General features: G+C 36.3%; 1 protein-coding gene across 1 annotated transcript in view; it reads left to right on the plus strand.

Annotated features, from left to right (window-relative positions):
• Window positions 1-17642, plus strand: part of FAM171B (family with sequence similarity 171 member B) — a 71900-nt gene extending 54258 nt beyond the window's left edge. Inside the window, exons 5-8 of the mRNA NM_177454.4 lie at window positions 2817-2987; window positions 5616-5732; window positions 12796-12919; window positions 13162-17642. Coding sequence (NP_803237.3) covers window positions 2817-2987; window positions 5616-5732; window positions 12796-12919; window positions 13162-14506 — 1757 coding nt within the window. The 3' untranslated portion in view covers window positions 14507-17642. The remainder of the gene's footprint in view (window positions 1-2816; window positions 2988-5615; window positions 5733-12795; window positions 12920-13161) is intronic.
• Window positions 17643-27829: the final 10187 nt, after the last annotated feature.

A 27829-nucleotide genomic window follows, 5' to 3' on the forward strand; every position in this document is an offset into this window, starting at 1 on the left:
TTTTTTTCAGATATTTTGTTCATTTCATTTGAGGAACAGCCAGCAATGAGTGATAACAGGAAATAAGTATTTTGGTTAGATAGAGTTTTGTTTTGCCTGTTGGAGTTGATGCTATCAGTGCCCCAGCCAGATGACACTTATTATTCTGTTACAAACCTGCTTTTCCTACTGCACACATCTGTGACTGCCTGAGGGCATTCCTTGGTTCCAAGAAGCAGACTTGGCCATCACATGGGGCAAGCTGTCAACCAATGACAGACAAAAGTTGGTGTGGCTAGGACAACTCTGAGCCAGTGTATGTCCCCAGTGGAACTGAGCTGGAGTTACCACAGTGATAACCTGCTTGTTAACACATCCTGTACTGGCTCCCTTCCTTCCTGCTGAATTACGCTTCTGTTAGTGATAGGTGCTTCCTGGGATTACTTACCAAATAAACTATTTGCCCTCAAATTATTATCTCAGGGTCTGCTGCTTGAGGAAGCCAAACTAAGACATCAGCCAAGATTTTCCAGATGTAACCTACAGGATGGTGTAAATAAAAGCATTTACTAGAATGGTATCTGTACACACTATCACAAATGAAGCTCATGGCGCTGGAGGATGTTCATGGACAAGACTCACTAGATTCAGTGGGAAAGGGTCAGAATGAACTGTTTCCCAACACTCTATTACCTGCTTTTGAGAGTATTCATTAATAGTTTTGATTATCCTGAGAATGCTGCTATCATTTAAAAAGTTCTAGAGCAGTGCTGCCAAATGGAAATATTCTTCTCTGTCCAACATGTGGCTGTTGTGCTCTTGAAACATGACCAGTGCACTGAGGAAGTTAAATAGCCACATGCAGTTAGTGGTCACTTTATTAGATTACACAGTTCTAGAGTTCCATGAGGATAAAAATGTCCTTTCATAAAAGTTCTGTTCTCCTTCTCATTGTTTTTTTCAGTCTTTTTTCCCTTGCACCATTCTTTTCTCCTCTGACTTGACTTTATCTTAAATGCTGGTGTGTCAGTTTCAACAGTTTGTAAAGCCACTGACTGCACGGAGCTGAGGGGTGAGGTTGAAGCAGGTACTTCAGAAAGCCAGCCAACTGGTTTTACTGAGTAGTTTGATGTAGTTACTTAACAATTTATATAACATTTGATTTGTGCTTGCAGTGGATGGCTTACAAGCATGCCAGCCTATAAAATATGTATGGCACTGCTTTGCTCATTTAATATTTGTCTTTCAGGTAATTTAGTACAGTTAATTCTTATATTTAATTGAAAATTTTCAGTAAGCCACTACTTGGCCTGTTTGACGGCTGAAGCCATTCCAGATGATAAGCAGTCATGATAATGAGGACTCTTTCTGTGGCTGCCAAGACCCTCCACTCTTGCCTGTCTCCCCTGCTGCCCTCTAGCCCTGTGGCCACCTTTCTTTCCTGCACCTGCCAAGATCACTTCTAATTTGGAGGCTTTGGACTTGTTTATTCTGCCTGGAAAGTTCTTGAAGGTTCTTCCCATTTGGCTGCAGCTCAGATGTGCCCTCCTCAGAGAGGAGGCCTTTCTTGACCGCCTAATTATGTGCCTTTTCTAGATTATCATGCACTTACATTTGGGTGGGGGAAAAAACTGATGAGGAGTAAATACATGGGGGCAAAAAAGGATATTTGATAGGAATTATTATGAAAAAATATTGCAGACAATATCAGAAATATATTTACTGTGTCTTTGGGGCCCATATGAGTACATGGTGCTGGTAGGGACTTTGTAAATATTTGTTAAATGAATGAACAAATTTCTAGTTTTGAAGCCAAAGATTCAAAAGTGTAGACCAAAAGCAAATAGATAAAAAGTATACTTTCTCCCATCTATTTGTAGAAATACTGTAATTTTAACATCTGTAATAGTTTTATTCTTCATAAATATTCTGGTATATATTATAACTTTGTTTGGCATTGCTAATATTTCAAAAGCAAAAGAAAGGCACTTTCTGCTCCCTCTCTCCGCCCAGAGTAACAGACATCTATAGATAGTTCCTGATATTTAAGAAAGCGTACTGTAAATTGTATTAGTAAATCTTTAAAACCTTAGGCAAAACAATATAACCAATTCTGTTATCTCCCTTTCTCCTGCTTTTCAAGCTTTGAAGTCTAGTATTATATTTAAAATCTAAGTTTATATTCTTTCAGTTGTATGAATAATCAAGTATATTAACACAATTTTTATCAAGTAATATTACAGTGATTTTGTTTCATGTTTAATTGCCAAACCTATCCATTAAAAATTGTACTTTTAATCTGAATGCTTTTTATGTAAGAAGTGCAACTTTTAATCTGAATGCTTTTTATGTAAGAAGTGCAACTTTTAATCTGAATGCTTTTTATGTAAGAAGTGCAGCTAGATCTGTGGGTTCTAGCACTCCTTGAAACAGATGGTCTTGGAAAAGAGAGGGTGAGATATTTCAAATCTACATCTGCATTGATGGTGTATGATAGAGCCTTTATGGAATATGGTACTATAGTGAGATGGGGTTTTTTTGGTTGTTGCTTTTTAGATTTATAAAAAATATTGAATTGGATTCTAGTGCCCCTTACATCAGATGACTTAGATAACTTAGGCTCATATTGATTTGTCAGTGTTACATTGCATAGCCTATATTTAGACAATATTTTAAAATTACATTTAAAAAATCCTTAATGTGTATTCAGTATCTATTTGATATTAAAATAGATAACCCTTGGTGAAATAGAGGAACTATTTATTTTAGACCTATAATAATTAGGTAACTACCACCTCTGTTTACATATGATTTTAATAAACTGTCTTCTTTTATAGGTTTTGAAAACATTGAATTGACTCCTCTTGCTGCAATATGTGTGAAAATATATTCTGGAGGAAAAGAACTAAAGGTCAATGGCTCTATTCAAGTTTCTCTTCCTCTTCTACGTCTGAATGATATAAGTGCAGGGGATCGCATACCTGCTTGGACATTTGATATGAACACAGGTATGTGAGCTAGGTTAAAATAGTCTGAATATTTTACATATTTGTCAATTGACTAGCTGGATGTTTTATCTTAGAACTTGATACAGCTCTAGTTTTTTAGTAACATCACAAATGTATTTGTTAGTGACCAAAATTGACTTCACTTTGATTAATATAATACAACCATTGGGCAAATGATGGGAATACACATGTCAAAAAAATAGCATTATTTATTCATTCCCTTACCTTTTTGTAGCACCACCATTTTGAGGTAGAAATAATTTTTTAAAATTATCTCTCTTCTTAGAAGTTTGTTTTTGTTTTGATAAGCTCATAATACCTATCTAAAAGCGTGGTTTAAGGCCATAGGGAAATGTATGCTAGTTTCATGAAAATAAGTAACATTATGTTATTAAGAGATAGAAAAAGTAATTGTTTTTCCAAAGAAACCCCTTAGATACTAGTTTTGTTTTCTGGGTTTCGCCTCCTAAATAGCAGCTGGAAATATATGTATATTTTCATCCTCAGCTTCCCTTTGTTTTTGTTCATGGGTTCCCATGTAAATAAGGTAGGAGTGTAAGTTACCAAAAAAAGACAGAAAAAGGAAAATGATCAGCCCACAACTGAAAAGTTTACAGGTAGGACTTCCTTGGGTGAGTCATGCTACAGTCTAGATAGTTTCACAGGGCTTGGGCTTGGTTTCTCTCCTCCTTCACTCTCATCTGTTTGCTCTGTATTAGCACCTTTCTAGGATGGGATTTCCCTTCAGACTGACAAGAAGGCTGTAGGTGCTCTAACGTTATACTTTGCCAGGTTGAAGGCCAGTAGAGATTTTCTTAGGAGCTATATATAGCAGAAGCCCTTGGACTCACTGTAGTTGTAGAGTGGAGTTTGCATGCCCATCTTAGAACCTGTCTTTGTGACCTGCAAATTGAATGCACAGATTTATTTAGACTTTAGGTCACATGTTGAAGCTGGATGGGACCCTAAACTGATCATGTTGGCTGAGAATAGGGCGCAATAGATCCTCAAAACTTGAAATGGGATTTCCTGTTAGGTAATAAGGCCCCCAAAACACATACGTTTTCACTATAGAGAATATAAGCAGTAATATATCTATGTTTTAAAGAAAGAGTGGAAACTATATAACCACGGTAGTATGCTACTGAAATCATTAGATTAAGAACTCTAAGATTTGGAATCTAGTCTGTTTACCAGCAGTACTACTTGGAATAAGTCATTTAACTTATTTGGGCCTCAATTTCCTGATTTGTTGAATGAGGAAGTCGTGTTAAGGCACTTAAAAAAAGAATATCTGCTGTTTGAGTCCTAGTTGCTGATTGTTCTTTCTGGCCAAGGCATCTATCTCTAATGTACCTTTCAGTGACAACATTTTTTGAATTGATTTATCACTGATGTAACACTTGTGGACTATTTAAAAGCAATAGATTAAATTATTCTCATTTTCCAGTTTCTCTACCTTATTAAAATACTTTTTTACATGTTATAGATAATTCACTATAATAAATCAATAAACCATAATACAAATATACACCAAACTCAAATAGCTTTGTTATGCTATTTATAAATAAAACTTCATAAAAGGTACAGGTTTTACTGAATTCTTTTTTCTTTTGACAGCAAATTTTACTGGATGAGGTAACATTTATTGAAAGTTTAGAAGATCTAGTTCTATAAGAACAATACCAACAGTACTAGACCGAGACAATATTTAGTAAAAAATTAAGGCCATAAAACAGTATATTTAATCAGAATATCAGATAAGAGCTATCTTAATATCCACAGTTTAAATAGAATCTGGAGAGTCATGATTTTTCTAAGTATGTCTGTGTCCTTAGTTTATTTTATTATTATTTTTTTTCAAGACAGAGTCTTGCCCTGTCACCCAGGCTGGAGTGCAGTGGCGCACTCTCAGCTCACTGCAACCTCCACCTCCCAGGCTCAAGCGATTCTCCTGCCTCAGCCTCCTGAGTATGTGGGATTACAGGCATGTGCTACCACGCCTGGCTAATTTTTGTGTTTTTAATAACTATTTTGTTTTAATATAAAATGACAACTTTTTTGGAATGACAATTCTTAATTAGTATGCCAAAAACATGTATTAATATCAAGAAATGTGAAAATTTAGTACTTTTTAATTTTAAAACTCACAAAATTAATAGATAAGTTTTTCATGAATTCCATGATTAAGGCTTTGTGATCCACTTATTTGAAGGTCTGATTCTAAGGTGAGTTTATTTCAGTACCTATTACAATAATAGGTGTCATAATTGATAATTTTTGTGTTTTTAATAGAGACGGGGTTTCACCATGTTGGCCAGACTGGTCTTGAACACCTGATCTTGTGATCCGCCTGCCTTGGCCTCCCAAAGTGCTGGGATTACCAGCTTGAGCCACCGCACCTGGCCATCCTTAGTTTATTTACAGTGTTTTTTGGTCACAACAAATCATTCTAATTATTCTATTACAGTATATACTATATTATAATATGATGTGATATATATTAGCCTATGATTATATATTGCCACAGTTTTCATAATCTTTGAAAAAGTCCCATAATGTATTCTGTGCATGACCATCAGTTCTTAAGATATAACTGTAACAAGTATTTTTTACATACCTTTTTAGGTGCTTGGGTAAATCATGGTCGGGGAATGGTCAAGGAACATAACAATCATTTAATCTGGACATATGATGCACCACATTTGGGGTACTGGATAGCAGCTCCACTTCCAGGAACTAGAGGTATTGTAAAAAATGAAAGTAATTAAAACATGTAATTCAAATAGTCTTGCTGGAACGGATAGCAGCAGACCTCAGTTTTATTCTAAGCACTGCCACTTACCAGCTATATGACAATGGGAAAGGAACTTGATCTCAGCTTATTTTTTTTTCATGTGTATCAGATTAAGCGCCATGAACTCTAAGGTCTCTTATAGTTATATCTGATGAATCTGTGAAGAATGAAGTTTGTTCAAATCAAGTATTTTCTTAGTTTACTTCTTTTTATGAATAAATTCTGCCCAAATCAGTTAGAGCTTTTGGTTGCAAGCAACAGAAAAAGATTTTGACTAATTTAAAAATATGCTATATTAGAAGGATGTAGGGAGTTCATAGGATCCTAGGAAAGGCTGAAGAACCAGATGCTGAAAGGCAGGACTCCTTGCCGTGCCAGATGGCCTAGTTAGCAGGCCTGCTTGACTACCTTTGCCAGGTTGCTGCTGTGTGGTGGCTGACTCTAACCCTTTCCAGTATTTTCCTTGTACTGTTCCTGATCATTCTAGAGCTGAAGAATGATCATCCTATTGGCCCACTTTTGGGTCTCAAGCACACATGTTACTTGGTGGGGATTGAGGAGGAGAGGAAGGGCTCTTGGAAGTCTGCAGACACTATCATTCAAGAAAAGACTGAGGATGTATTAAATCAAGCTTGTCCAACCCCCAGTCCACAGGCTGTATGCAACCTAAGACAGCTTTGAATGAGACCCAACACAAATTTGTAAATTTCCTAAAAACATTGAGTTTTTTAAATGATTTTTTTTAAGTTCATGAGCTATCAATGTATTTTATGTGTGGCCCAAGGCAGCCAAAAGATTGGACACCCCTGTACTAAATGAAAATTGGTCTGACATTTTGAACAGAAGGAAGATGGAGGCTGGGGAGCAAAACCATGAATTGTCCACTAGGGAAGATCTGTTCATAGTCTAGGAAAAATGAGCATTTTATTTCCTTATATTTAACATGTTGTCAAATTATCTAGATAATTTGTACCTCAGGAAACCCTACATTGATCTCAAGTTGTGTACATTCCTCAAAATATTCAAACATTGCATATTTTAGCCATTAAATTTTGAAAAAAGAAAAATTCTCTAACCTGCGGTAGTCTAGACCGGTTGCACTGTCAGCCTGCTACCACTTCCTGGGCCTTTTCAGTATGTGTTGGCATAAAATCAAATTGCTTCTTGGCTTTCCCTACCACCAGCCTTGGTGAGTCAATTATGATAGCTTATTTTCCTTTATTCTTGTAGGTTTGTGTTTTTACAGAATAAAAACAAAGCAAAACATTTAGTGTTATTTTAGTGAAGATTTTAGAGTAAAAGTTGAATGCATGTATATCATCATCTTCAGTCATTTTTCAGAGATAATTCTTTTGGTTTATCAAGTGTTTTGGCTCACAGCTGAGGGGTAGTTGCTACCTGGGTATTTCATACTGATTAGGAATAGTCCTAGTACTTACCCTGATCCAGAACATGGATGACATTTTACATATGTTTATCTGCAGCATTTTGTCATCTAACATTATTATGACTGTCTGTTATTTTGAAGGCTATCAGTTTTCTCTAGTTTTTAAAATCAAGTTTGATTTTTATTTTCATTCTGTGTTGGCAAGTTTCAATTTTCTTTTTTGATTGGGTCTTGCTATGTTGCCTGCTCAGGCTGGGCTCAAACTCTGGATCCTCCCACCTCAGCCTCTTAAGAAGCTGGGACTAATTAGCCATATATGATCAAGAGAAATGTTATTTTTATTTCTATTTGAACTTAGTGCTTACAGGATTATTTATTCAGAAATCAGAGGGTGGTTACTTTTGCTTTTCATGATGCAAAATATCATACAATCTTGCCAGCTGTCTGGCTTTATCCCATTCTATATTTGCAACTATAATGAAATATTGATGAAAAACAATATTTAATTTCATACAACTCACTTCATTTTTAATAAAAATAACCTAAGGAGCATTTGAGTTTTATAGAGAAATGTACTTACACTAAAAATATATCTAAAATAACTGAATTATATAAGATAGCTTTATGAATTACAAAAGCCAAAATTATTTTCTAAAACCACATGGAAGTTCTGTTCCAGATTATTTGTTGGAAAAGATGTTGTTTGGATGAGTACTAAAATAAAAGTATGGGATTCTTGTTTAGTTTGAATTAGAGACCTTCTATAGTGATGCTTTTGAAGAATTTATTCTGCAAGCCTATCAGTCAAAGCAATACTACATTAGAAGTATGGATAACTTGATGATAGCCCTTACTTTGTAATTAACTGAGTAAGCTTGAAATAGGTACTTACCCAACTGAACATTAGTTTTCTTGTTTTTAAATTGGGAGAGTTGGATATTGTGTTAGTCTGCTCAGGCAGCCATAACAAAATAACTGCAGAGTAGTAACTGGCTATTAACAGAAATTTACGTTTTCACAGTCTGGAGGCTACTGTCCAAGGTCAAGGTGCTGTCAGGGTTGGTGAGGCCTCTTCCTGGCTTCTAGATGGCCACTTTCTCAAGATGTCTCCACATGGCCTTTCCAGACACCAACCAGTTCTCCAATTTTCAGTGGACGTTGATTATATCCTATAATTCAATTCAATCCTGACATTATCTACCTACAGTTTGCGTCAGACCCCTCAGGTTAAGGGTTTAATCCCATAGGACTGCCCCCATTTCAGGTGCCCATTGCAAGCAGCAGGTTCTCAGTTTACCCATACCATCTGATTTGGCTTCAAATGGGGGGTTTGCACAATTCTCTCCTCAGGTTTGATAATTTGCTATGATGGCTCACAGAAATCAGGGGAACACTTACTTACACTTACCAGCTTGTAATAAAGGATACAGATAAAGAGCAGATGAAGAGGTACATAGGGCAAGGTCTGTAAAGGTCCTGTGTACAGGAGCTTTTTCCCCCATAGAGTTGGGGTATATCACCCTTCTGGCCCATGGATGTGTTCATCAACCTGGAGGCTTTACAAACCCTATACTTGAGGAATGTTGATGGAGGCTTCCTCGTGCAGGCATGATCAATTATTAACTTAATCTCCAGCCATTCTCCTTCCTGGAGTATGAGGGGTGGTGCTGAAAGCTACAGGCTTCTAAGCATGGCTTGTTGGTCACCAGCCCCCAAGCATGAGCCTGCCCAGAGTCAAGTTAGAACAAAAGATAATCCCAACACCCAGAAAATTCCAAGGGATTTAGGAGCTCTATGTTAGGAAACAGGATCAAAGACCACATAATAGAACAAAAGACACTCCTAGACTCCCTGTTGCTCAGGAAATTCCAAGTGTTTTAGAAGCTCTGTGCCAGTAACTAGGGACAGAGACCAAATATATATATATATATGTTGATTATGACACAATCCCTAATGTCCCTAAATATTTTAGGATGTATTACTATAAAATCAAAATTGTTCCTATGATCAGCTAGTGTTTGCAGAGCTGCTTTAGTTACAAATATGGTTAATTTGTTTTTTAAAGTTTAAATAGAATTCTAGAATTCCTTGGAAAAAATATTAAGTGCAAGAGATTAATTTTTCAGATTGCTGTAGGAGAGTAGGTGGTTGAGTACAGAGTTTAATAAACAAGTGTTTTAAATGTGCATTTTAAATATACTTCAATGAAAAGAATGCTTTTCTACCTAACTCCTTCTAGACATGCATGCACACACATGCACACGGATACAGATACACTCTCTTGCTACTGCCATACATATAGGATTTGGGGCAAACTCAATATGTCAACATCCTGTTTCCAAATGTGAGTTTTGTTGGATTCCTGTGGAGTGAACATTGTTAGCATTACTCCATTCTGGAAGCAAACTCATTTATGCCTAGTTATAATCAAACCAATCCTCCATACAGATCTACAGCTAGCAGAAAGTTACTCTCATTTCTTTTTTGTTTGACAAAACTTCATATTGTACAGTGCTGTGCTTGTTTGTCTATTAAATAAGAGAACAGTCACCATCTGTGAAATCATGGCCAATATTAGAGTGCCCATTTTAATATAACCTTAAAGCTTCATTCAACAATAGTGTGGTATAGCGAAAACTGAGTGCTTATCGTGAGCCAAGGACTGGTGTCAGTGTTTCACAAGTATTTACTCATTTAATCGTCAGCAGCTCACATGGGTTAGATATAACTGTTACTGCTCTGCAGATAAGGGAACTAGATACAAAAGAAATGAAACTTTCCCAAGACTACATAAAAATAAATGGTGAGGTGAGAGTTCCAATTCAGGCACTTTGGCTGTAAAGTCTACATGCATAACTGCAATACTGTTTCTCCAAATCTTTTATCAAATTAGTGCAAAATTTGAAAGATAAAATTAAAGAACTGGTGGTCCCTCAATTTCTTCAGTGTCCTCAGTGCAGGTGGGAGCCTTATGCTGGATGTTTTCTCATGGTAAAGATGACCAGAAACCAGCTGCCCCACCACTCACTCTTCTTACCCTATCTCCCTGAATACATATTAGAATGTAATTGATACTGATAAGTAGATTTATTATATAGCTTTTTGAGCACAATGAAGTCTTTGTGATATTGAAACAGATTACCTCAAGATTAGCTGCCCAATAGCATTCACTTTTATCATGTTTTTAAATTTTTTATCTTTATGGGTACATGATTGATAGGTGTTTATATTTCTGGGGTACATGAGCTATTTTGATACAGGCATACAGTGCATAATAATCATGCATAATAATCACATCAACATAAATGGGGTATTACCTCAAGCATTGTTATAAATGTTTTAATCATACTCTTTATTTTTAAATGTACAATTAGTACATTGTCTGTGTTCACTCTGTTGTACTATGAAAATACTAGATCTTATTCATTCTAACTAACTAACCATGCCTACTCTCCCCCAACCCCACACTACCCTTCCCAGCCTCTGGTAAACCATCATTCTACCCTCAATTTCCAGCTGTTTCAATGTTTAGCTCCCACAAAGGAATGAGAACATGCAAAGTCTGTTTTTCTATGCCTGGCTTATTTCATTTAACACAATGTCCTCAACTCCCATTCATGTTGTTGCAGATGACGGGATCACATCCTTTTTTATGGTTGAATAGTACTCCATTATGTACATATATCACATTTTGTTTATCCATTCATCTGTTGATAGACACTTAGATCACTTTCAAATCTTGGCTATTGTGAACCGTGCTGCAATGAACATGGGCATGCAGATATCTCTTTGATATTCCTCTAGCGCTGCTGGGTTAGGGTCTTCCCGACTGAGCTGGTCTCAGCAACTGAGTTCCTTTCTTTTGGGTATATATCTAGCAGTGGGGTTGATGGGTCATATGGTAGCTCTGTTCTTTTGAGGAACATCCTAATTGTTCTCCATAGTGACTATGTTAATTTACATTCTCACCAACAGTGTATGAGGGTTCCCTTTTCTCTACATCCTCACCAGCATTCATTATTGACTGTCTTTTGGATAAAAGTCATGTGAACGGGGATAAGATGATCTTATAGTAGTTTTGACTTGCAGTTCTCTGATCAAATATGTTGAGCCTCTTTTCATATTCCTGTTTGCCATTTGTTTGTCTTTTTTTGAGAAATGTTCTATTCAAGTCTTTTGCTCATTTTTTAATGGGATTATTAGAATTTTTCCTCTGGAGTTGAGTTCCTTATATATTCTGGTTATTTTCTCCCATTCTGTGGGTTGTCTCTTCCCTTTGTTGATTGTTTGCTTTGCTCTACAGAAGCTTTTGATGTTATCCCATTTTTGCTTTGGTTGCCTGTGCTTGCAGGGTATTACTCAATAAATCTTTGCCAAGATTTATTGGAGAGTTTCCTCAATGTTTTCTTTCAGTGATTTCATAGTTTGAGGTCTTAGATTTAAGTCTTTAATCTATTTTGATTTGATTTTTGTATATGGTGAGAGATAAGAGTGTAGTTTCATTCTTCTGCATAAGGATATCCAGTTTTCCCAGCACTATGTATTGAAGAGACTGTCCTTTCCCCAATATATGTTCTTGGCACCTTTGTTGAAAATGAATTCACTGTAGATGTATGGATTTATTTATAGGTTCTCTGTTCTGTTCCATTGGTCTATATGTATGTTTTTACCAGTAGCATTCATTTTTATGTTGAAATCATCCTAGTCAGCTTTTACTGCAGTAAAGCTTATCACAATGGCATTCGTATACGTATGTTCTCATAGCAGGAGGATAGTTGGTCAGTTGTGCTCTGTTCACTCTAGAGCCCAGGTAGAAGGAGCTGCAACTCTTAATGCTTCAAGTTTTAGAATTTTTGTATTCTATTTCTTTAGACCCCTGCTTAATTTGGTAAATCCTTTTTTTGAATTTGTCTTTAAAATATTTAAAGATTAAATATCTAGATAAAAAATAAATGCAGCTGATAATCAACATTCTATCTTAAAATCTCTTTGCACAAAGCTCAAGTTAGTTAAAAATATTTTCGCCCAGTTTATTTTACCAATTTTTTTGTTACTTGGGTCACCAGTTTTACGGCCTCTTGAAACAGTTTTCTCACTGCCTGGCCTAGAAGCCAATGTCATATGTTTTAAGCTTTCTATAGCAGCATCTCAGCATCTTCTGTCATATCCATTGCTGCAGTAACAAACAACCCTGCTGTCTCGGTGGCTAACAGTATCAAACGCTTATTTGCTACTTAACATTTCATGAGTGTTTCAGGATTGTCTGCTGCGCTGTTGGACTTGGCTTCATTCAGTTCAACAGATATTCTCATTCTAGACCCCAGGTTGAAGGAATAACAACTCTCTGGGCTATGCTATTCACATATTAGAAGTCTTGAGCAAGAGGGCAGAGCCACACCATGCAAACTCATTTAATATGCTCACATTTCATTGGTTAAAGCGAGTCAGTCAATTAAGCCAAAGGATAGGGAAGGTTTACTTCACCCATAGGGAAATCTGTCATAGGAGGGGGGCAAACAAATAAAAGTATGTACACTTATTCAATTTGCCTCACCCAGGATGTGACATAGTTGAGAATTTGATCTAAAATAACATTTTCTCTTTGTTTATATTGAACCATGTAGGTTCAGGTATAAATGAAGATTCCAAGGACATAACTGCCTACCACACAGTGTTTCTTACAGCCATATTAGGAGGAACAATAGTCATTGTCATTGGATTTTTTGCTGTACTACTTTGTTATTGCAGGTAAGAAAATGGCTATAAACACAGAAAACTATCAAGTTATGGTATCATTTCAGTATATTCTGTACATTGAAAAGTTTATTTGTAGAAATAAATTTAATCTTATAATATATCCTTTTTTATTTTTAATCTACATATCTCACAATAGCATTGCATGTATGATATGTAGATTGGGAGTGATTTTTAATAAATGAACCATTTGTGTCATAACTTTTAAATATTTTTTGCCTTCTCTTCTACTCTAGGGACAAGTGTGGTACTCCACAGAAAAGAGAAAGAAATATCACTAAACTTGAGGTCCTCAAGAGAGACCAGACAACTTCAACAACACACATAAATCATATCAGTACAGTTAAAGTTGCATTAAAAGCTGAGGACAAGTCGCAGTTATTCAATGCCAAAAACTCCTCATATAGTCCTCAGAAAAAGGAACCATCAAAGGCAGAAACAGAAGAAAGAGTTTCCATGGTAAAAACTCGGGACGATTTTAAAATCTACAATGAAGATGTTTCATTTCTATCAGTCAATCAAAATAATTACTCAAGAAACCCAACACAGTCTTTGGAGCCCAATGTAGGGTCCAAACAACCTAAACATATTAACAACAATCTATCTTCATCTCTAGGTGATGCTCAAGATGAAAAGAGGTATCTCACAGGTAATGAGGAGGCGTATGGGCGTTCCCATATTCCTGAACAGCTTATGCATATTTACAGCCAACCCATTGCCATCCTTCAAACATCTGACCTTTTCTCCACACCGGAACAATTACATACTGCTAAGTCAGCTACTTTGCCAAGAAAGGGACAGTTAGTCTATGGCCAATTGATGGAACCAGTAAATCGAGAGAACTTTACGCAGACCTTGCCCAAAATGCCAATTCATTCTCATGCACAGCCCCCAGATGCCAGGGAAGAGGATATCATACTTGAAGGTCAACAGAGCCTGCCATCCCAGGCTTCAGATTGGAGCCGATACTCAAGCAGCTTACTGGAATCCGTCTCTGTTCCTGGAACACTAAATGAGGCTGTTGTAATGACTCCATTTTCATCGGAACTTCAAGGAATTTCAGAACAGACCCTCCTGGAGCTGTCCAAAGGAAAGCCCTCCCCGCATCCCAGAGCCTGGTTTGTGTCTCTTGATGGAAAGCCAGTTGCACAAGTGAGGCACTCCTTTATAGACCTGAAAAAGGGCAAGAGAACCCAGAGCAATGACACCAGTCTGGACTCTGGGGTGGACATGAATGAGCTTCACTCAAGTAGAAAGCTCGAGAGGGAGAAAACATTCATCAAAAGCATGCATCAGCCCAAGATCCTTTACTTAGAAGATTTAGACCTAAGCAGCAGTGAGAGTGGAACCACCGTCTGTTCCCCTGAGGACCCAGCTTTAAGGCACATCCTAGATGGAGGGAGTGGAGTGATCATGGAGCACCCTGGAGAAGAGTCGCCAGGAAGGAAAAGCACTGTTGAAGATTTTGAAGCTAATACATCCCCCACTAAAAGAAGGGGCAGACCACCACTAGCCAAAAGAGATAGCAAGACTAACATCTGGAAGAAGCGAGAGGAACGCCCACTGATTCCCATAAATTAACTCCAATGGGGATTGTGTGTCTGCTGTCTCGTGCTGTTTATTCTTGCTTCTTGTTGTAAATTGCAGTACGAACTTAAGAAAATGAGACTGAGCAATCTCATGGTTCTTGGACATGTCTCAAGCAGAGTAAATGGTAATTCAGTAATCAGAGAGAAAGATACCAAGGAATGCTTTTTCTGGCCTATTCATTTATTTTTGGGTGATGAATTTACAGTATCTAAGTTTTCAAAATGTAAAATAGCTTCAAGATGTTAGTTATCTGAAAATGTTGCTCAGCCAGCCAGTTTGGCCTTGACTCTCTTAAGAATAACAGTGAAATATATACTCCTCAAGTTGCCTCCAAAAATGTTGCCTCTACCATGGTGACTACCCCATGGAACATTTAGAAACAAAACTGACTTCAGGCATCATATTATTTTAAATGTTACTATTACGTCTTCTTCTGCCTATACTTAAAAATAACTTGATAAATGACTTGGACTGATGTTACTCTGGAGTTATCACAAAGAAAATGTTGTTTGGTCTTTAAAGAGCATGTGTATTGTATCATCCCAAACGTAAATCCTACATTTATATAAGATGGGCAAGAAGCTACTTGGTCATTAGAGAGGGAGACACCAGCTCTTTGGTTGTTTTTGGATATAACTTTACAAAATAAGTAAGATGTTAATTTAGAAATTTGAGAAATTAATGCTCTAATACTGAGTTTTTATTTAAAAATTATTTTTTCTTCCCCTCAACAATGAAGCAAGCTTAGCTGTCAAGGGAAACTTTTTACAAATCTGAAAAAAACAATCTATGACTTTGGTTTAAGGCTCACTGATACTTTTAGGCTAAATTGGTTTTAATATATTTCTTCTATTCTAAAAACCTGAACTCAGTCACTTAAAGGCTATGAAATTTAAAAAAAAAGTCGATGTGAAAGTTTCTTTTGAACACTAAAATAAAATATGTGCAGATAAAATATACATTGATTTGTTTTTCTTAAATGTTGATGAGAAGAAAAAGAGATGCCATTTTCCTGAGGCTCAAAAATACCTTCAGGATAGTTGTATATCCAGTTATTGATTTTCTTAAAAGATGTGTAAGGAAAACAGTTTCAATTTCAGGGGAAAAGTAAAAGTTTTTCCCTAAGTCACTTAAAGCCTTTGCAACTTCTTTTTTCAGTTTTGTAAGTAATATATCTATGTTCTTTTCATTATAGCAAGCATTCAATGTGAACAACTTTTTAATTAACTCTGAATTACCATTCATACATCCTAAAAATAAAAGCTCGTTATTCATTAAAATCAACTGATCCCATTTTTCTTAAAATTTCCCTGAAGGCAAATGTCTGAAGCACCTTTCCCTTGTGGGGGTAAAAATCCTAAATTGCTTTATTTTTCATTCCCTCCTATTCAACATGGGAGCAGCATAGAGACCCAAACCATGTAAACAAGTTCAGTGAACCAAAACAGCCACATTAGCTTCAGTAAAATTATAGCTAGATGTGCAATTTTTTCCTCCAACTTCTAACGTGTCAAATAACCTTCCTACTGTTCTGTGTTAACTGAAAGAACATAAAGACCCTAGGCAAATATTTGCTATATATTACCCCAATCCATAGAAGAAATAATGTTTTGGGTAATACCTAGGCTTCCTTTTTTTTTTTTTTTTTTTTTTTTTAGTGATAAGGCTCATAACAATTAATTAGAGAAGGCTTCTTATTGGTCTTACACAGAAAGATACATCAAAAGCAGCATGACTCAAAATGATTTGGAAAAGGTTAAAGTTAGTGCTCTGCTGAAGTGCCTTTGATATAGACTTGCATTATTAGAAGGATATAACATCTTTTTTAAGTGTGCATTTTCTTTCAGTTAACCAAATTAAACAGATGTGCAGTTTTATTAAAAATATAGACCTAGTGTTTCATGTTGGAACAATAAATATTGCATGTGAGTAGTATTTCTTGTTTTTTGAATACAGTATATATTGATAAATTGTTTATGTTGGAATGAAGTTAGAAACTATATAGCAAAACATTATATTTTAAGTGTTTATTTTTCCCACCTTTAAATAAAAATGTTTCATCTCAGCTTGGTAATGAAATACACATATTGGTATAAGGGTATACCATTCAGGTATGCCACTTATTTTATTCATTTTTGTGTAAGGGAAATGAGATGATGTATCCCAAGGGCTTTTCTAGAACTACTTGTTTGCTTTCAGAATAAAACCTTATTATTTTTTACACTGCACATGCTGTTCTCAATTGGTAATTATAGGCAATTTATCTTTTCTAATGATCAAAAGAGTGTGACTTCTCATTTGTGAGTAGTTCACAAATTTCCTGTTAAAAAGCTGAAACCATCTACTTTTTCTTAACCCAAGTGATAATAAACAATATTCACAACTTTCTTAAATTTTTAAATTGAAAACCAAGGTTTTTTCAAATATAAACCTAGATGATTTTGGTCACAAATTGTTAACATTTGTCGATCCTTTGTATATACTTTGGATATATATTAAAGGCAAAACTATCTCTTGACTAACTGATGGATTCATTTACTAAAGCACAGCTGTATGTATTTTTGAATACATATTATGATCTTGAGACTTTATAAATCAATTTTTATGACTTTATGCAGTTGTATAGGGATTATGCCCTTTCAGTTCTATAGGGATTATGCCCTTTTATAATACATAATATACCACAGAGATTACAAATGTTGAGGAATGAAAGCACTTCTTTGCTTTGGCAATCATTTTCAGACCACTATGTGTTTGAATCCTCTGGTATCAATACGTATTATAGGGTTTTAGAGATCTGTGGGTCAAATGATGTCCCTCAAAACTTCCTAAAAAGGTGAAGCTCAAAGTCACACATTCTTATAAGGCGCATGAGTTTCTCATTTTCCCATGTACGAGCATTGTAAAGGAATTCAGCTGTATTAATTTCTATTTCAGATCTAGAATTGACATTTTGCCTTCTTGTTTCCAGGTGTTTCTATTTTTTGTATTCTTTCAGAGAAATCTCATATTTCGGTGTATTTATTGCTGTTACTACTATATTTACTGCTGAAAACTGTAACAACCTGAAGATTTGTAAAATGTTAAACATAGTTCATTAAAAATAATAAAATAAATCTAAAATGTACTTGGAGCATTGTTTAATTTTTGGTGAACTAGAAAACATTCCTCCCTACATTGCCATTTAATCTAGTAAATATTCAATTATTACTTTTTACTTATTACATCTCCTACAGTAAAATAAACCCTTTTATTTATATAATGAACTCGATATTTCTTTATATTTCATGTCTACAAAGTCCCAATTTTTACTATTAGAGCTGAGTGTGGACAAATTGTTTTCCATCCACTGAGGAGATTTAAGACAATCTGATTGAATCTAAAATAAATTACAAATCCCAAAACACCTAAGTGAGAAAATGATACAGTAAACCCTCAACCCCCTTTTAAAATATTCTTTGAACTCTAAACCTGAGTCTAAATGATAACACAAAGGCTATTTATACTTAAAAGAGTTAGCTCTTCAATAACCTTTCTGCTTAATCAATTGAACAATATTTAAGTTCATGCAGTTTGTATTAGGGGACTTTAGAATACTTTCTAGAATTATCTTGACTGCCATGTTTTTAGACATGTAACTTTTATACATTAATAAGGTACTAAAAATAGCTTTGGTCAGTTCTAATAGGAATTGGACTCTGAATCCACTCACCAGTAGACATTGTAATTCCCAGCACTGGCTGTATGATAAATACTTCCACTTGGATCCCTGCATGTGCCAGCCAAGCTATGGCTACCTTTGTTAGGGAGCCTGGTCTCCATCCAAGAGAGTCTTAGTCTTACCAGAAATTATATGGCCCCTGGAGGAGCCATAGGGGACGCTAACTCACATGGTACTGGTTTGTAACAAAACTATTCATCAATCAGAAACAGCTGGCAAACATGATGGTCATGAACTGATCATCACATTCTCATCTCAGAAGAGAAACTAATATGGGAAGACTGAGATGTAAGAACTGTAAGAAAAGTAGTTGGATATAATTAAGAGACATTTTAATCAGTTTATCAAAAGTGATTCACCTTTTGGTACTTAATAACTGGCAGATAATCAGGGATCCTTTCCTTGAAGTAAATGTTGGAAAAATATTTAAACTACACCACAGTGTTTGTTTACCTAGACCCCATGAAATCACCCTGTGGACCTCTTTTTATAGGTGGATTTCTTGACAGATGGATACACAGTGAGACAGCTTACTTATATCGGTAAGCTCTCTCTAAATCAACTAGAGGGCTAATTTCTTCTAGGAAAAATTGCCTTATTTTCTTAGTTTTGAATTTGTTTGCTCCATCAAAATAAATATTCTTTCTTTGACTTGTCTTTATCTTTTCATTTTGAGCTTCAGTTTATTTGGGGACTAGATTTCTGCCTATTAAGATTTTTAAAACATAACATCTTCAGAGTTTGACTAGAAGAAAATAGTCTAGAAGTCAACCATAATTTGCCATATTAAATGCTGAAAGCTAATAATCTCAATGACAAATGATGGAAAAACATTTTCATCAAGTATATAATGGTACGTGCCTTAGAAAAAAATAACTATTTTCTTTCCAAAATAGCTAAGCTTAAAGATTACATTTTAAAACTACCTGTGATGTTTGTTAAAATATTGCAATAACACGTTCCTGCACTTTGTTAGCTATAGTAGATGAATAGCTTCCTATTTCTTTTGGGAAAGTTTACATGATGATGTAAACCCACAGATTATTTTTAAAAAAGAAAGTTCACATCTTTAGAAGCATATGCTATTTTATCCCCCTAGGTAACAAAACCTTTCTTAGTTGAAACCTATTATTTCCTGGTTTTCAAGCCTACCTCTGCTATGGTTCTGAATGGTATTCCACAGTCTTGCAAGAGTACCAGATTTTCCCCATGGATTGATTTTTTTTCTGTTCTTCAGGTTGACTGGGGGTTTCATAATTCATATGTTGACTAGTTCTAATCCTTGTAGACCTTATTAAAACACTAGACTAACTGCAGACAGTCTGATTCAAAACAAATAAGACAATTACATTCCCAAGAGTCTCTGGACTTATTACACTTGAACAGCTTAGTTAGAAACTTTTTCTAAATGGGGGCTATCCGGAAAGGGTAATAGTGGCTATTAAGCAATGTAGAGTAAATATCTCAGAATTTTTATTTTACATATTTCCATATTTCAATCCAATAATGTAGATTCTTTTGTTTTTCATAGAAAAATACTTTAAAAAATTCAGCTTAAAAAATTAGCTTATCAGTATCCAAAATTTTATAATAAAGACTATTTCAAAACCCTGATTTCTGATTTAGATAATTTCTGAAAGGTTTGTGTCCATAAAATACAAAAAAGGATAATTATTAACATACTTTTGCAGATATTTTCTCATTGTTACTTTTAAAAATTTAGTATTTCTGATTTTTAAAAGAGTTGCTTGTCATTATTCCATGTATTATTTAACAAAACACTATTGATGTGAATATTGACCATTGAAGAGGTTGTTAATGACAAGTAGATGAGATCTATAATTAAGGAGTTTACCAATTATTTCTAAGGAGTGCTTATACTTATAAAAGGAAGGGAAAAATTATTTCTCTGAATAAGTTTTTTTCCTTAATGTTTAAATAAAATGACAAGAAAAGAATCTTGAAAGTGAATTTCATGCTAACAATCTTTAACACATACCTGTTTTCTGAAACTCTGGTTTCTCAAAAAGTAATGCTTGCCACTGTTCTATTATTTTCTTTTTTCACAATGAGACATAAGAGCAAGCTGTAATGAATCAGTGATAAGAGAATTGTACTTACTCTTCTTGAAATTGGGACCTGTCTTTCCTGCCTTTTTTTTTTTTAAGTGAAGATGAGATTTGATACTATTAAAATTAGCCTTAGTAAGAAATTAATCTGAATCAGGAAATTTTGAAAATTCCATCTGCCCCAAGATGAGCTCATTTCACTTCTAAAGAAAATACTGCCTGATTGCATGTACAAAATTGTTATGTTGATATCTTATGTTTGTCTTCTTAGACCATAAGATCCTTATGGACAGAAACCATGCTTTACAATTCCTCCAATTCTTAACAGTACAGTATGTATTCAATAAATATTGATTAATGGAGTTATGAATTAGATGAATGATAATGGATTTTGTTCAATGGAATAATTGGAAATGTTTTGAGAAGAGGAGAGAGTGACATCAGCAAGATGGTAAAATAGGAGCTCCCCTGCTTGTATCCTCTCAAGCAACAAAGGCAAAAGTGGCTTTGTGGGAGCTCTGGAATTCAGATAGGAGTTTGTGAAAACCTCCTGGAGCTCAAGACCTAGTAAGGCCATTCTAGAGGGTAGAACTATGCCCATGTAGAAAGCTCACAGGCTATGGTCCCAGTTCCAGACCTGGAAATGGCCCTGTCATCCTGAGGACTCAGTTGCAGCCATGTTTGGCCTTGATCCTGCTACCACAATCACCCACCAAGGAACCCAGGTAGAGTCACACCATTTATGCCTTCAGTGACAGGCCTGCTGACTTTGTTTCTTCCTGTGGACCCTGAAATGGCTAAGAGACTTGTCTTCAGCTCTGTCAGCTGCAGACTGCAAGCAGTCCTGCCCCATGAGGTCCCCAGGGGGAGACATACTTGTCTCTCAGTTCCTAGAGGCAGGCCTGTCAACCTTAGTCTCAGCTGTGGAACCTGAAGCAGCCCTGCAACTGTTTAAGTCCCTCACATCTGTGGGCTGGGGACAACACTGCCTGTCCAGAGAACTACTCAGTGACCCAGGGGGAGCCTTCCCAGAAACCCACATGAAGCCACACCAGTCTGTGCAGCTGGTGATAGGCTAGTTGTCTGAGCGAACTTGAAGACAGGTAAGTTGAAATTACCCAATTATAGAAAGAAAAAGAATGAAGGAAGCATAAGGGACTTATGGGACACCATCAAATACAAATATATTATTAATTATGGGAGTTTCTGAAACAAGAGAGAGAGAGAAAGCTAAAGAAAGCTTATTTCAAGAAATAGTAGCTGAAAATTTCTCAAATATTGAGAGGATCCAGATTCATGGAGCTCAGAAAACCCTAAGCAAGACTGACCCTGTATTAGGCTGTTCATACATTGCTATAAATACTTGAGACTGTGTAATTTATAAAGAAGAGACTTAATTGGCCAATGGTTCTGCAGGCTTTACAGGAAGCATGGCGCTGGCATCTGCTCAGCTTCCAGTGAAGCTCCTCAAGGAACTTTCAATCACGCCAGAAGGTGAAGGGGGAACAGGCCTGTCACATGGTGAAAGTAGGAGAAAGAAAGAAAGAGAGAGAAAATGGAGGCGATGCGGGGAGGGTGCGGGCGTGGGTGCCATATACTTTTAAGTGACCAGACCTTGTGAGAACACACTCACTCTCATAAAAACAGCACCAAGCCACAAGGGATTCACCTCCATGATCCAAACACCTCCCACCAGGCTAAGAATTACAATTCGACATGAGATTTAGGCAGGGACAAATATCCAAACTCTATCAGACCCAAAGAAGAATATTCTGAGACATATTATGATCAAATTGTCAAAAATCAAAGATAGAATCTTGACAGCACCAAGAGAAAAGTGCCTTATTACACACAAGGGAACCTTCATAAGACTATCAGCAGACTTTTCAACAAAACCCTTGCAAGCCAGGAGGAAGTAAGATAACATATTCAAAGTGCAAAACAAAAAAAACAAACTGTCAATAAGTAATACTATAACTGGCAAAGCTGTCCTTCACATATGAAGGACAGAGAGACATTCCCTGACAAAGAAAACCTGAGAGACATCATCACCAGTAGACCTGCCTTACAAGAAATAATGAAGTTCTTAGAGTTGAAACAAAAGGATGCTAAATAGCAACATGAAAACATATGAAAGTACAAATGTTTCTCAACTTATAATGGGGAAACATCCTGATAAACCCATCATAAAGTCACAAAATTATAAGTCAAACCAATGTAAGTTGGGGACCATCTGTACAAAATTCACTGGTAAAGGTAAATATTTAGTGAAATCCAGTATACTCTAATACTGTAATAATGGTGTGTAAATGACTTTTAATTCTAGTACAAAAGTTAAAAGACCAAAGTATTAAAAATAACTGTAACTACAATTTGCTGATAAATAAACAAAATAGAAAGATGTAAAATATAACATCAATAGCCTAAAATGTGGTGAGGAGCGAAATAGAAGTGTGGGTTTTGTATGCTATTGAACTTAAGCTTTTAGTTCAAAATAGAATGTTATAACAATAAGATGTTTCGTAAAAGTCCTGTGGTGAACACAAAGAAAAAATAAACCTCTAGTGAATACACAAAGATAACAACAAAAAAAAACCAAAGCATGCACTTCAAAAATCTAACAAATTACAAAGGAGGAAGAAAAGAATGGTATAATGGAAAAAAGGAATGATGAAACAATTAGTAAACAACAAAATGGCAAAAGTTCTTACATATTGATTATTACTTTACATGCAAATGAATATATTTTCCAATCAAAAGACACAGTGTTTAAATGGATTAAAAAATATGATCTCAGTTGGAAAAAAAATGGCAGATAGGAGACAGGACTAACTTCAGCTCCCACTCAGAGCAGTGTGTGGAGGCTCACACTGTGAACTTTTGCTCCAAGGATTAGTGCAGTAACATACCAAGAAAGCCAGAGACTCCACAAGCCCTTTGAAGGAAGCGGCTTGCTGTTGCAGGTTCTGTGAGACAGCCAAAAGAATGTGAGTATTCAAAGTGTAAAAGAGGGAACATCCACCCCCAAACACACATCCTCACTGGGAAACCTAAAGGTTCAGATCACAGGAGAAGAATTTGACCTTACCTGGCGCTGAGACAAATTTAGAGAGCTGAGAAAAATATGGGGGTAGAAGAAGCACAGGGAAGAGTCCTGTGGGCACTCTCAGTCCCCAGGGAAGCCATTTCTGACTTTATTTCATAGGGGTCCTTGGGGAGGGCTGGCAGTGGAACTGGGGAAAGATGAAAGATTCAGGAAACATTCAGCTGAACTTTGTAACAATTTCAACTCAAGGTGAAGGTTCCTGGACAGAAACTGGGGGAGGGAGTGACCTGGAGTACAAATATGAACACAGAAGCTGCAGAAGGTAGGGAGGCATGAAACCTGAAAGCCCTGTTTACTTTCTCAGCAGGGAGGCTTGTAGCCTGGGGCAAGTTCTCAGCCCTGCTCACTGGCTGCCTGGAAATAAACTCAGTGTGGTTAGGGGGACACAGTGGGAGTGAGACTAGCCTTTCCAGCTGCATGGGAGCTGTGTGAGTCCTGTCACTGCTGGCTTTCCTGCACTTCTCTGGTGACCTGTATGATATGACAGAGGCAGCCATAATCTCCCTGGGAATGTAACTTCATCAGCCTGAGAACCACACTCCAATCCTCCACAACAGCCTAAGCATGCCCTGCCCAAGGAGAGTCTGAGCTCAGACACACCAGACCCTGCTCCCACCTGATGGTCTTTCTCTACCCGCTCTGGTAGCTGAAGACAAAGGACATAATTTCTTGGAAGCTCTGTGGCCCCACCCACCACCTGAGACACCCAAATACTTACCCAGGTGACCTTAGGGCAAGCTTGTATACTCCCTGTAATACTGCAGCTGATACTCTCTTGAAAGCACCACCTCCTTGCTGGAGGCCAACCAACACAAAACCAGTGCACTAAGCAAAAATACAACCAAGGACTCTCACAGAGTCCACTTCACTCCCCTGCTACATGCGCTGGAACAGGTTCTGGTATCCACGACTGAGAGACCTGAAGATGGATCACATCACATGACTCTTTGCAGACACTCCACAGAACCAGCCCAGAGCCCACTAGCTCTGCTGTGTGGCTGGATCCAGAAGAGAAACAACAATCACTATAGTTGAGCTCTCAGAAACCCCCATCCCCAGGGGAATGGGGAGAGTACCACATCCCCATAAGACAAAAGAATTCAAACAGCAGCTCTTGAGCACCGTATCTTCCTTCTGACATAGTCTACCCAAATGAGAAGAAACCAGAAAAACAATTCTGGTAATATGAAAAAACAAGGTTATTTAACACCCCCAAAAGATCACAATAACTCAGTAGCAATGGATCCAAACTGAAAAGAAATCTCTGAATTGCTAGAAGAATTCAGAAGGTTGATTTTTAAGCTACTCAAGAAGGCACCAGAGAAAGGTGAATACAAACTTAAAGAAATTTTAAAAATGTCACAGGATATGAATAGAAAAATAGATAAACAGCATAAATAAAAAATAATCACAACTTCTGGAAATGAAGGACATACTTAGAGAAATGCAAAATCCACTGGAAAGTCTCAGCAATAGAATTGAACAAGCAGAAAAAAGAACATCAGAGCTTGAAGACAAGGCTTTTGAATTAACCCAACCCAATAAAGACAAAGAAAAAAATTAAAACGGAGCAAAACCTTCAGGAAGTTTGGGATTATGTTAAAAGACCAAACCTAAGAATAATTGGTGTTCTTGAGGAGGAGAAATCTAAACATATTTGAGGGAATAATCATTCCACTATGGAAAACAGTGTGGAGATTGCTTAAAGAACTAAAAGTAGAACTACCATTTGATCCAGCAATCCCACTCCTGGGTGTCTACCCAGAGGAAAAGAAGGTATTATACAAAACATATACTTGCATATGCATGTGTATAGCAGCACAATTCACAATTGCAAAAATATGAAACTAGCCTAAATGCTCATCAATGAGTGGATAAATTGTGGTGTATATATGCATTAGTCCCTTTTCACGCTGCTGATAAAAACACACTGAGACTGGACGATTCACAAAAGAAAGAGATTTAATGGACTTACAGTTCCACATGGCTGGGGAGGCCTCACAATCATGGTGGAAGGCAAAGAGGAGCAAGTCATATCTTACATGGATGGCAGCAGGCAAAGAAAGAGAGCTTGTGCAGGAAACCTCTCATTTTTTAAAATCATCAGATCTTGTGAAACTTATTCACTATCACAAGAATGGCATGGGAAAACCTGCTCTCCATGATTCAATTACCTTCCACCGGGTCCCTCCCACAACACGTGGGAATTCAAGATAAGATTTGGGTGGAGACACAGCCAAATCATATCAATATATACCATGGAATGCTACTCAGCCATAAAAAGGAATGAAATAATGGCATTTGCAGAAATCTAGATGGAACTGGAGACCATTATTCTAAGTGAAGCAACTCAGGAATGGAAAAGGAAACATTTTATGTTCTCAATCATAAGTGGGAACTAAGCTATGAGGATGCAAAGGTGTGGAAATGGGACTTTCGGGACCTAAGGAAAGGATGGGAGCAGGGAGAGGGGTAAAAGACTACACATTGGTACAGTGTACATTGCTTGGATGTTTTGGTTTACCAAAATCTCAGAAATCATCACTGAAGAAGTTATTCATATAACCAAACACCACCTGCTCTCCAAAAACCTATTGAAATAAAAAAATTAATAAGTCAAAAAATATGATCCAATAATATTCTATGTACAAAATACTCACTTTAGGCTTGAGGACACATAGAAAGTACATGAATGAAAAAAGATATTCTATGCAAGTTATAACCAAAGAGAGCAGGGGTGCCTATACTTATAAAAGAAAAAAACAGACTAAGTCAAAAACTGTAAAGCTGTAAAATTCTAGTGTAGTAGTAAATGCCTGCATTAGACAAAAGTGTTAATATATAATAAAGATGTCAATTTATCAAGAGGTTATAACAATTGTAAATATATAGGCACCCACCATCAGATCATCTGAATATAACAGGCAGATATTAACACAAAGGAGAAATACACAGCAATGTAACAGTGGCGGACTTTAATATTCCACTTTCAACAATGGATATATTATCCATACCAAAAAGGAAAAAAGTCAATAAGGATGAAGTGGACTTGAATGATAAACCAAAGGAACCTAGCAGACATATAGAGAGAGCATTCCATCTAACAGCAGCAGAATACATATCCTTCTCAAATACACATGAAACATTCTCCAGGATTGATCATATGTTGTGTCATAAAACAAAACAAATTTAAGAAGATTGAAATCATCTCAAATATCTCTTCTGACCACAATAATATGAAACTAAAAAGCAATGATAGGAAGATTGAAAAATTCATAAATATGTGGAAATTAAGCAATAGGTTTCTGATCAACTAATGGATCAAAAAAGAAATTAAGGCCGGACGCGGTGGCTCATGCCTGTAATCCCAGAACTTTGGGAGGCTGAGGTGGGCAGATCATGAGATCAGGAGATCGAGACCTTCCTGGCTAACATGGGGAAACCCCGTCTCTGCTAAAAATACAAAAAATTAGCTGGACGTGGTGGCAGGCACCTGTAGTCCCAGCTACTCGGGAGGCTGAGGCAGGAGAATGACATTAACCTGGAAGGCGGAGCTTGCAGTGAGCCAAGATTGTGCCACTGCACTCCAGCCTGGGTGACAGAGCGAGACTCCATCTCAAAAAAAAAAAATAAATAAATAAAATAAAAAAGAAATTAAACTAGAAATTAAAAAATATATTAATACAAAAGAAAATGGAAACAAAACATATGAAAGCTTGTGGAATGCAGCGAAAGCAGTAAATGCCTACATTATAAAGGAAAAAAATCCAAATATGCAAGCTAACATTACACCAAAAGGGTCTGAAAAAAGAAGAACAAACCAAGAAAAAGTTTGTATAAGGAAGCTAATAAAGATCAGGCCAGGAAAAAATAGAAATTAGGAAAACAATGGAAGAGATTAATAAACCTAAGAGTTGTTATATTTTAAAAGATAAGTTGATATACCTTTCACTAGAAAAAAACAGAAGACTCAAAATCAGAAATAAAAGAGGAGCTATTACAACTAAAGACACAGAAATAAAAAGGTTAATAAAAAGACTATTACCAATTATACACCAACAAATTGGATAACCTAGAAGGAATGGATAAATTTCTAGATACACATAACCTACTAAGACTGAATTATGAAGTAGAAAATCTGAGCAGATCAATAACAAGCAAGGAGATTGAATTAATAATTTTAAAAAAATCACTCACCAAAAAAAGCCCAGGATCCGATGGCTTCACTGCTGAATTCTATGAAACATTTAAAGAAGAACTAATACCAATCCTTCTGAAAGTCCTCCAAAAATCAAAGAAAAAGAAATAACTTTCAAGTGAATTATATGAGGCCCTGATACCAAAGCCAGACAATACCATTACAAGAAAATTACAATCCAATATCTCTGATGCACACAGATGCAAAAATCCTCATCAAA

Source organism: Homo sapiens, chromosome 2 (genome assembly GCF_000001405.40).
Source record: "Homo sapiens chromosome 2, GRCh38.p14 Primary Assembly".
Taxonomy (NCBI): Eukaryota; Metazoa; Chordata; class Mammalia; order Primates; family Hominidae; genus Homo; species Homo sapiens.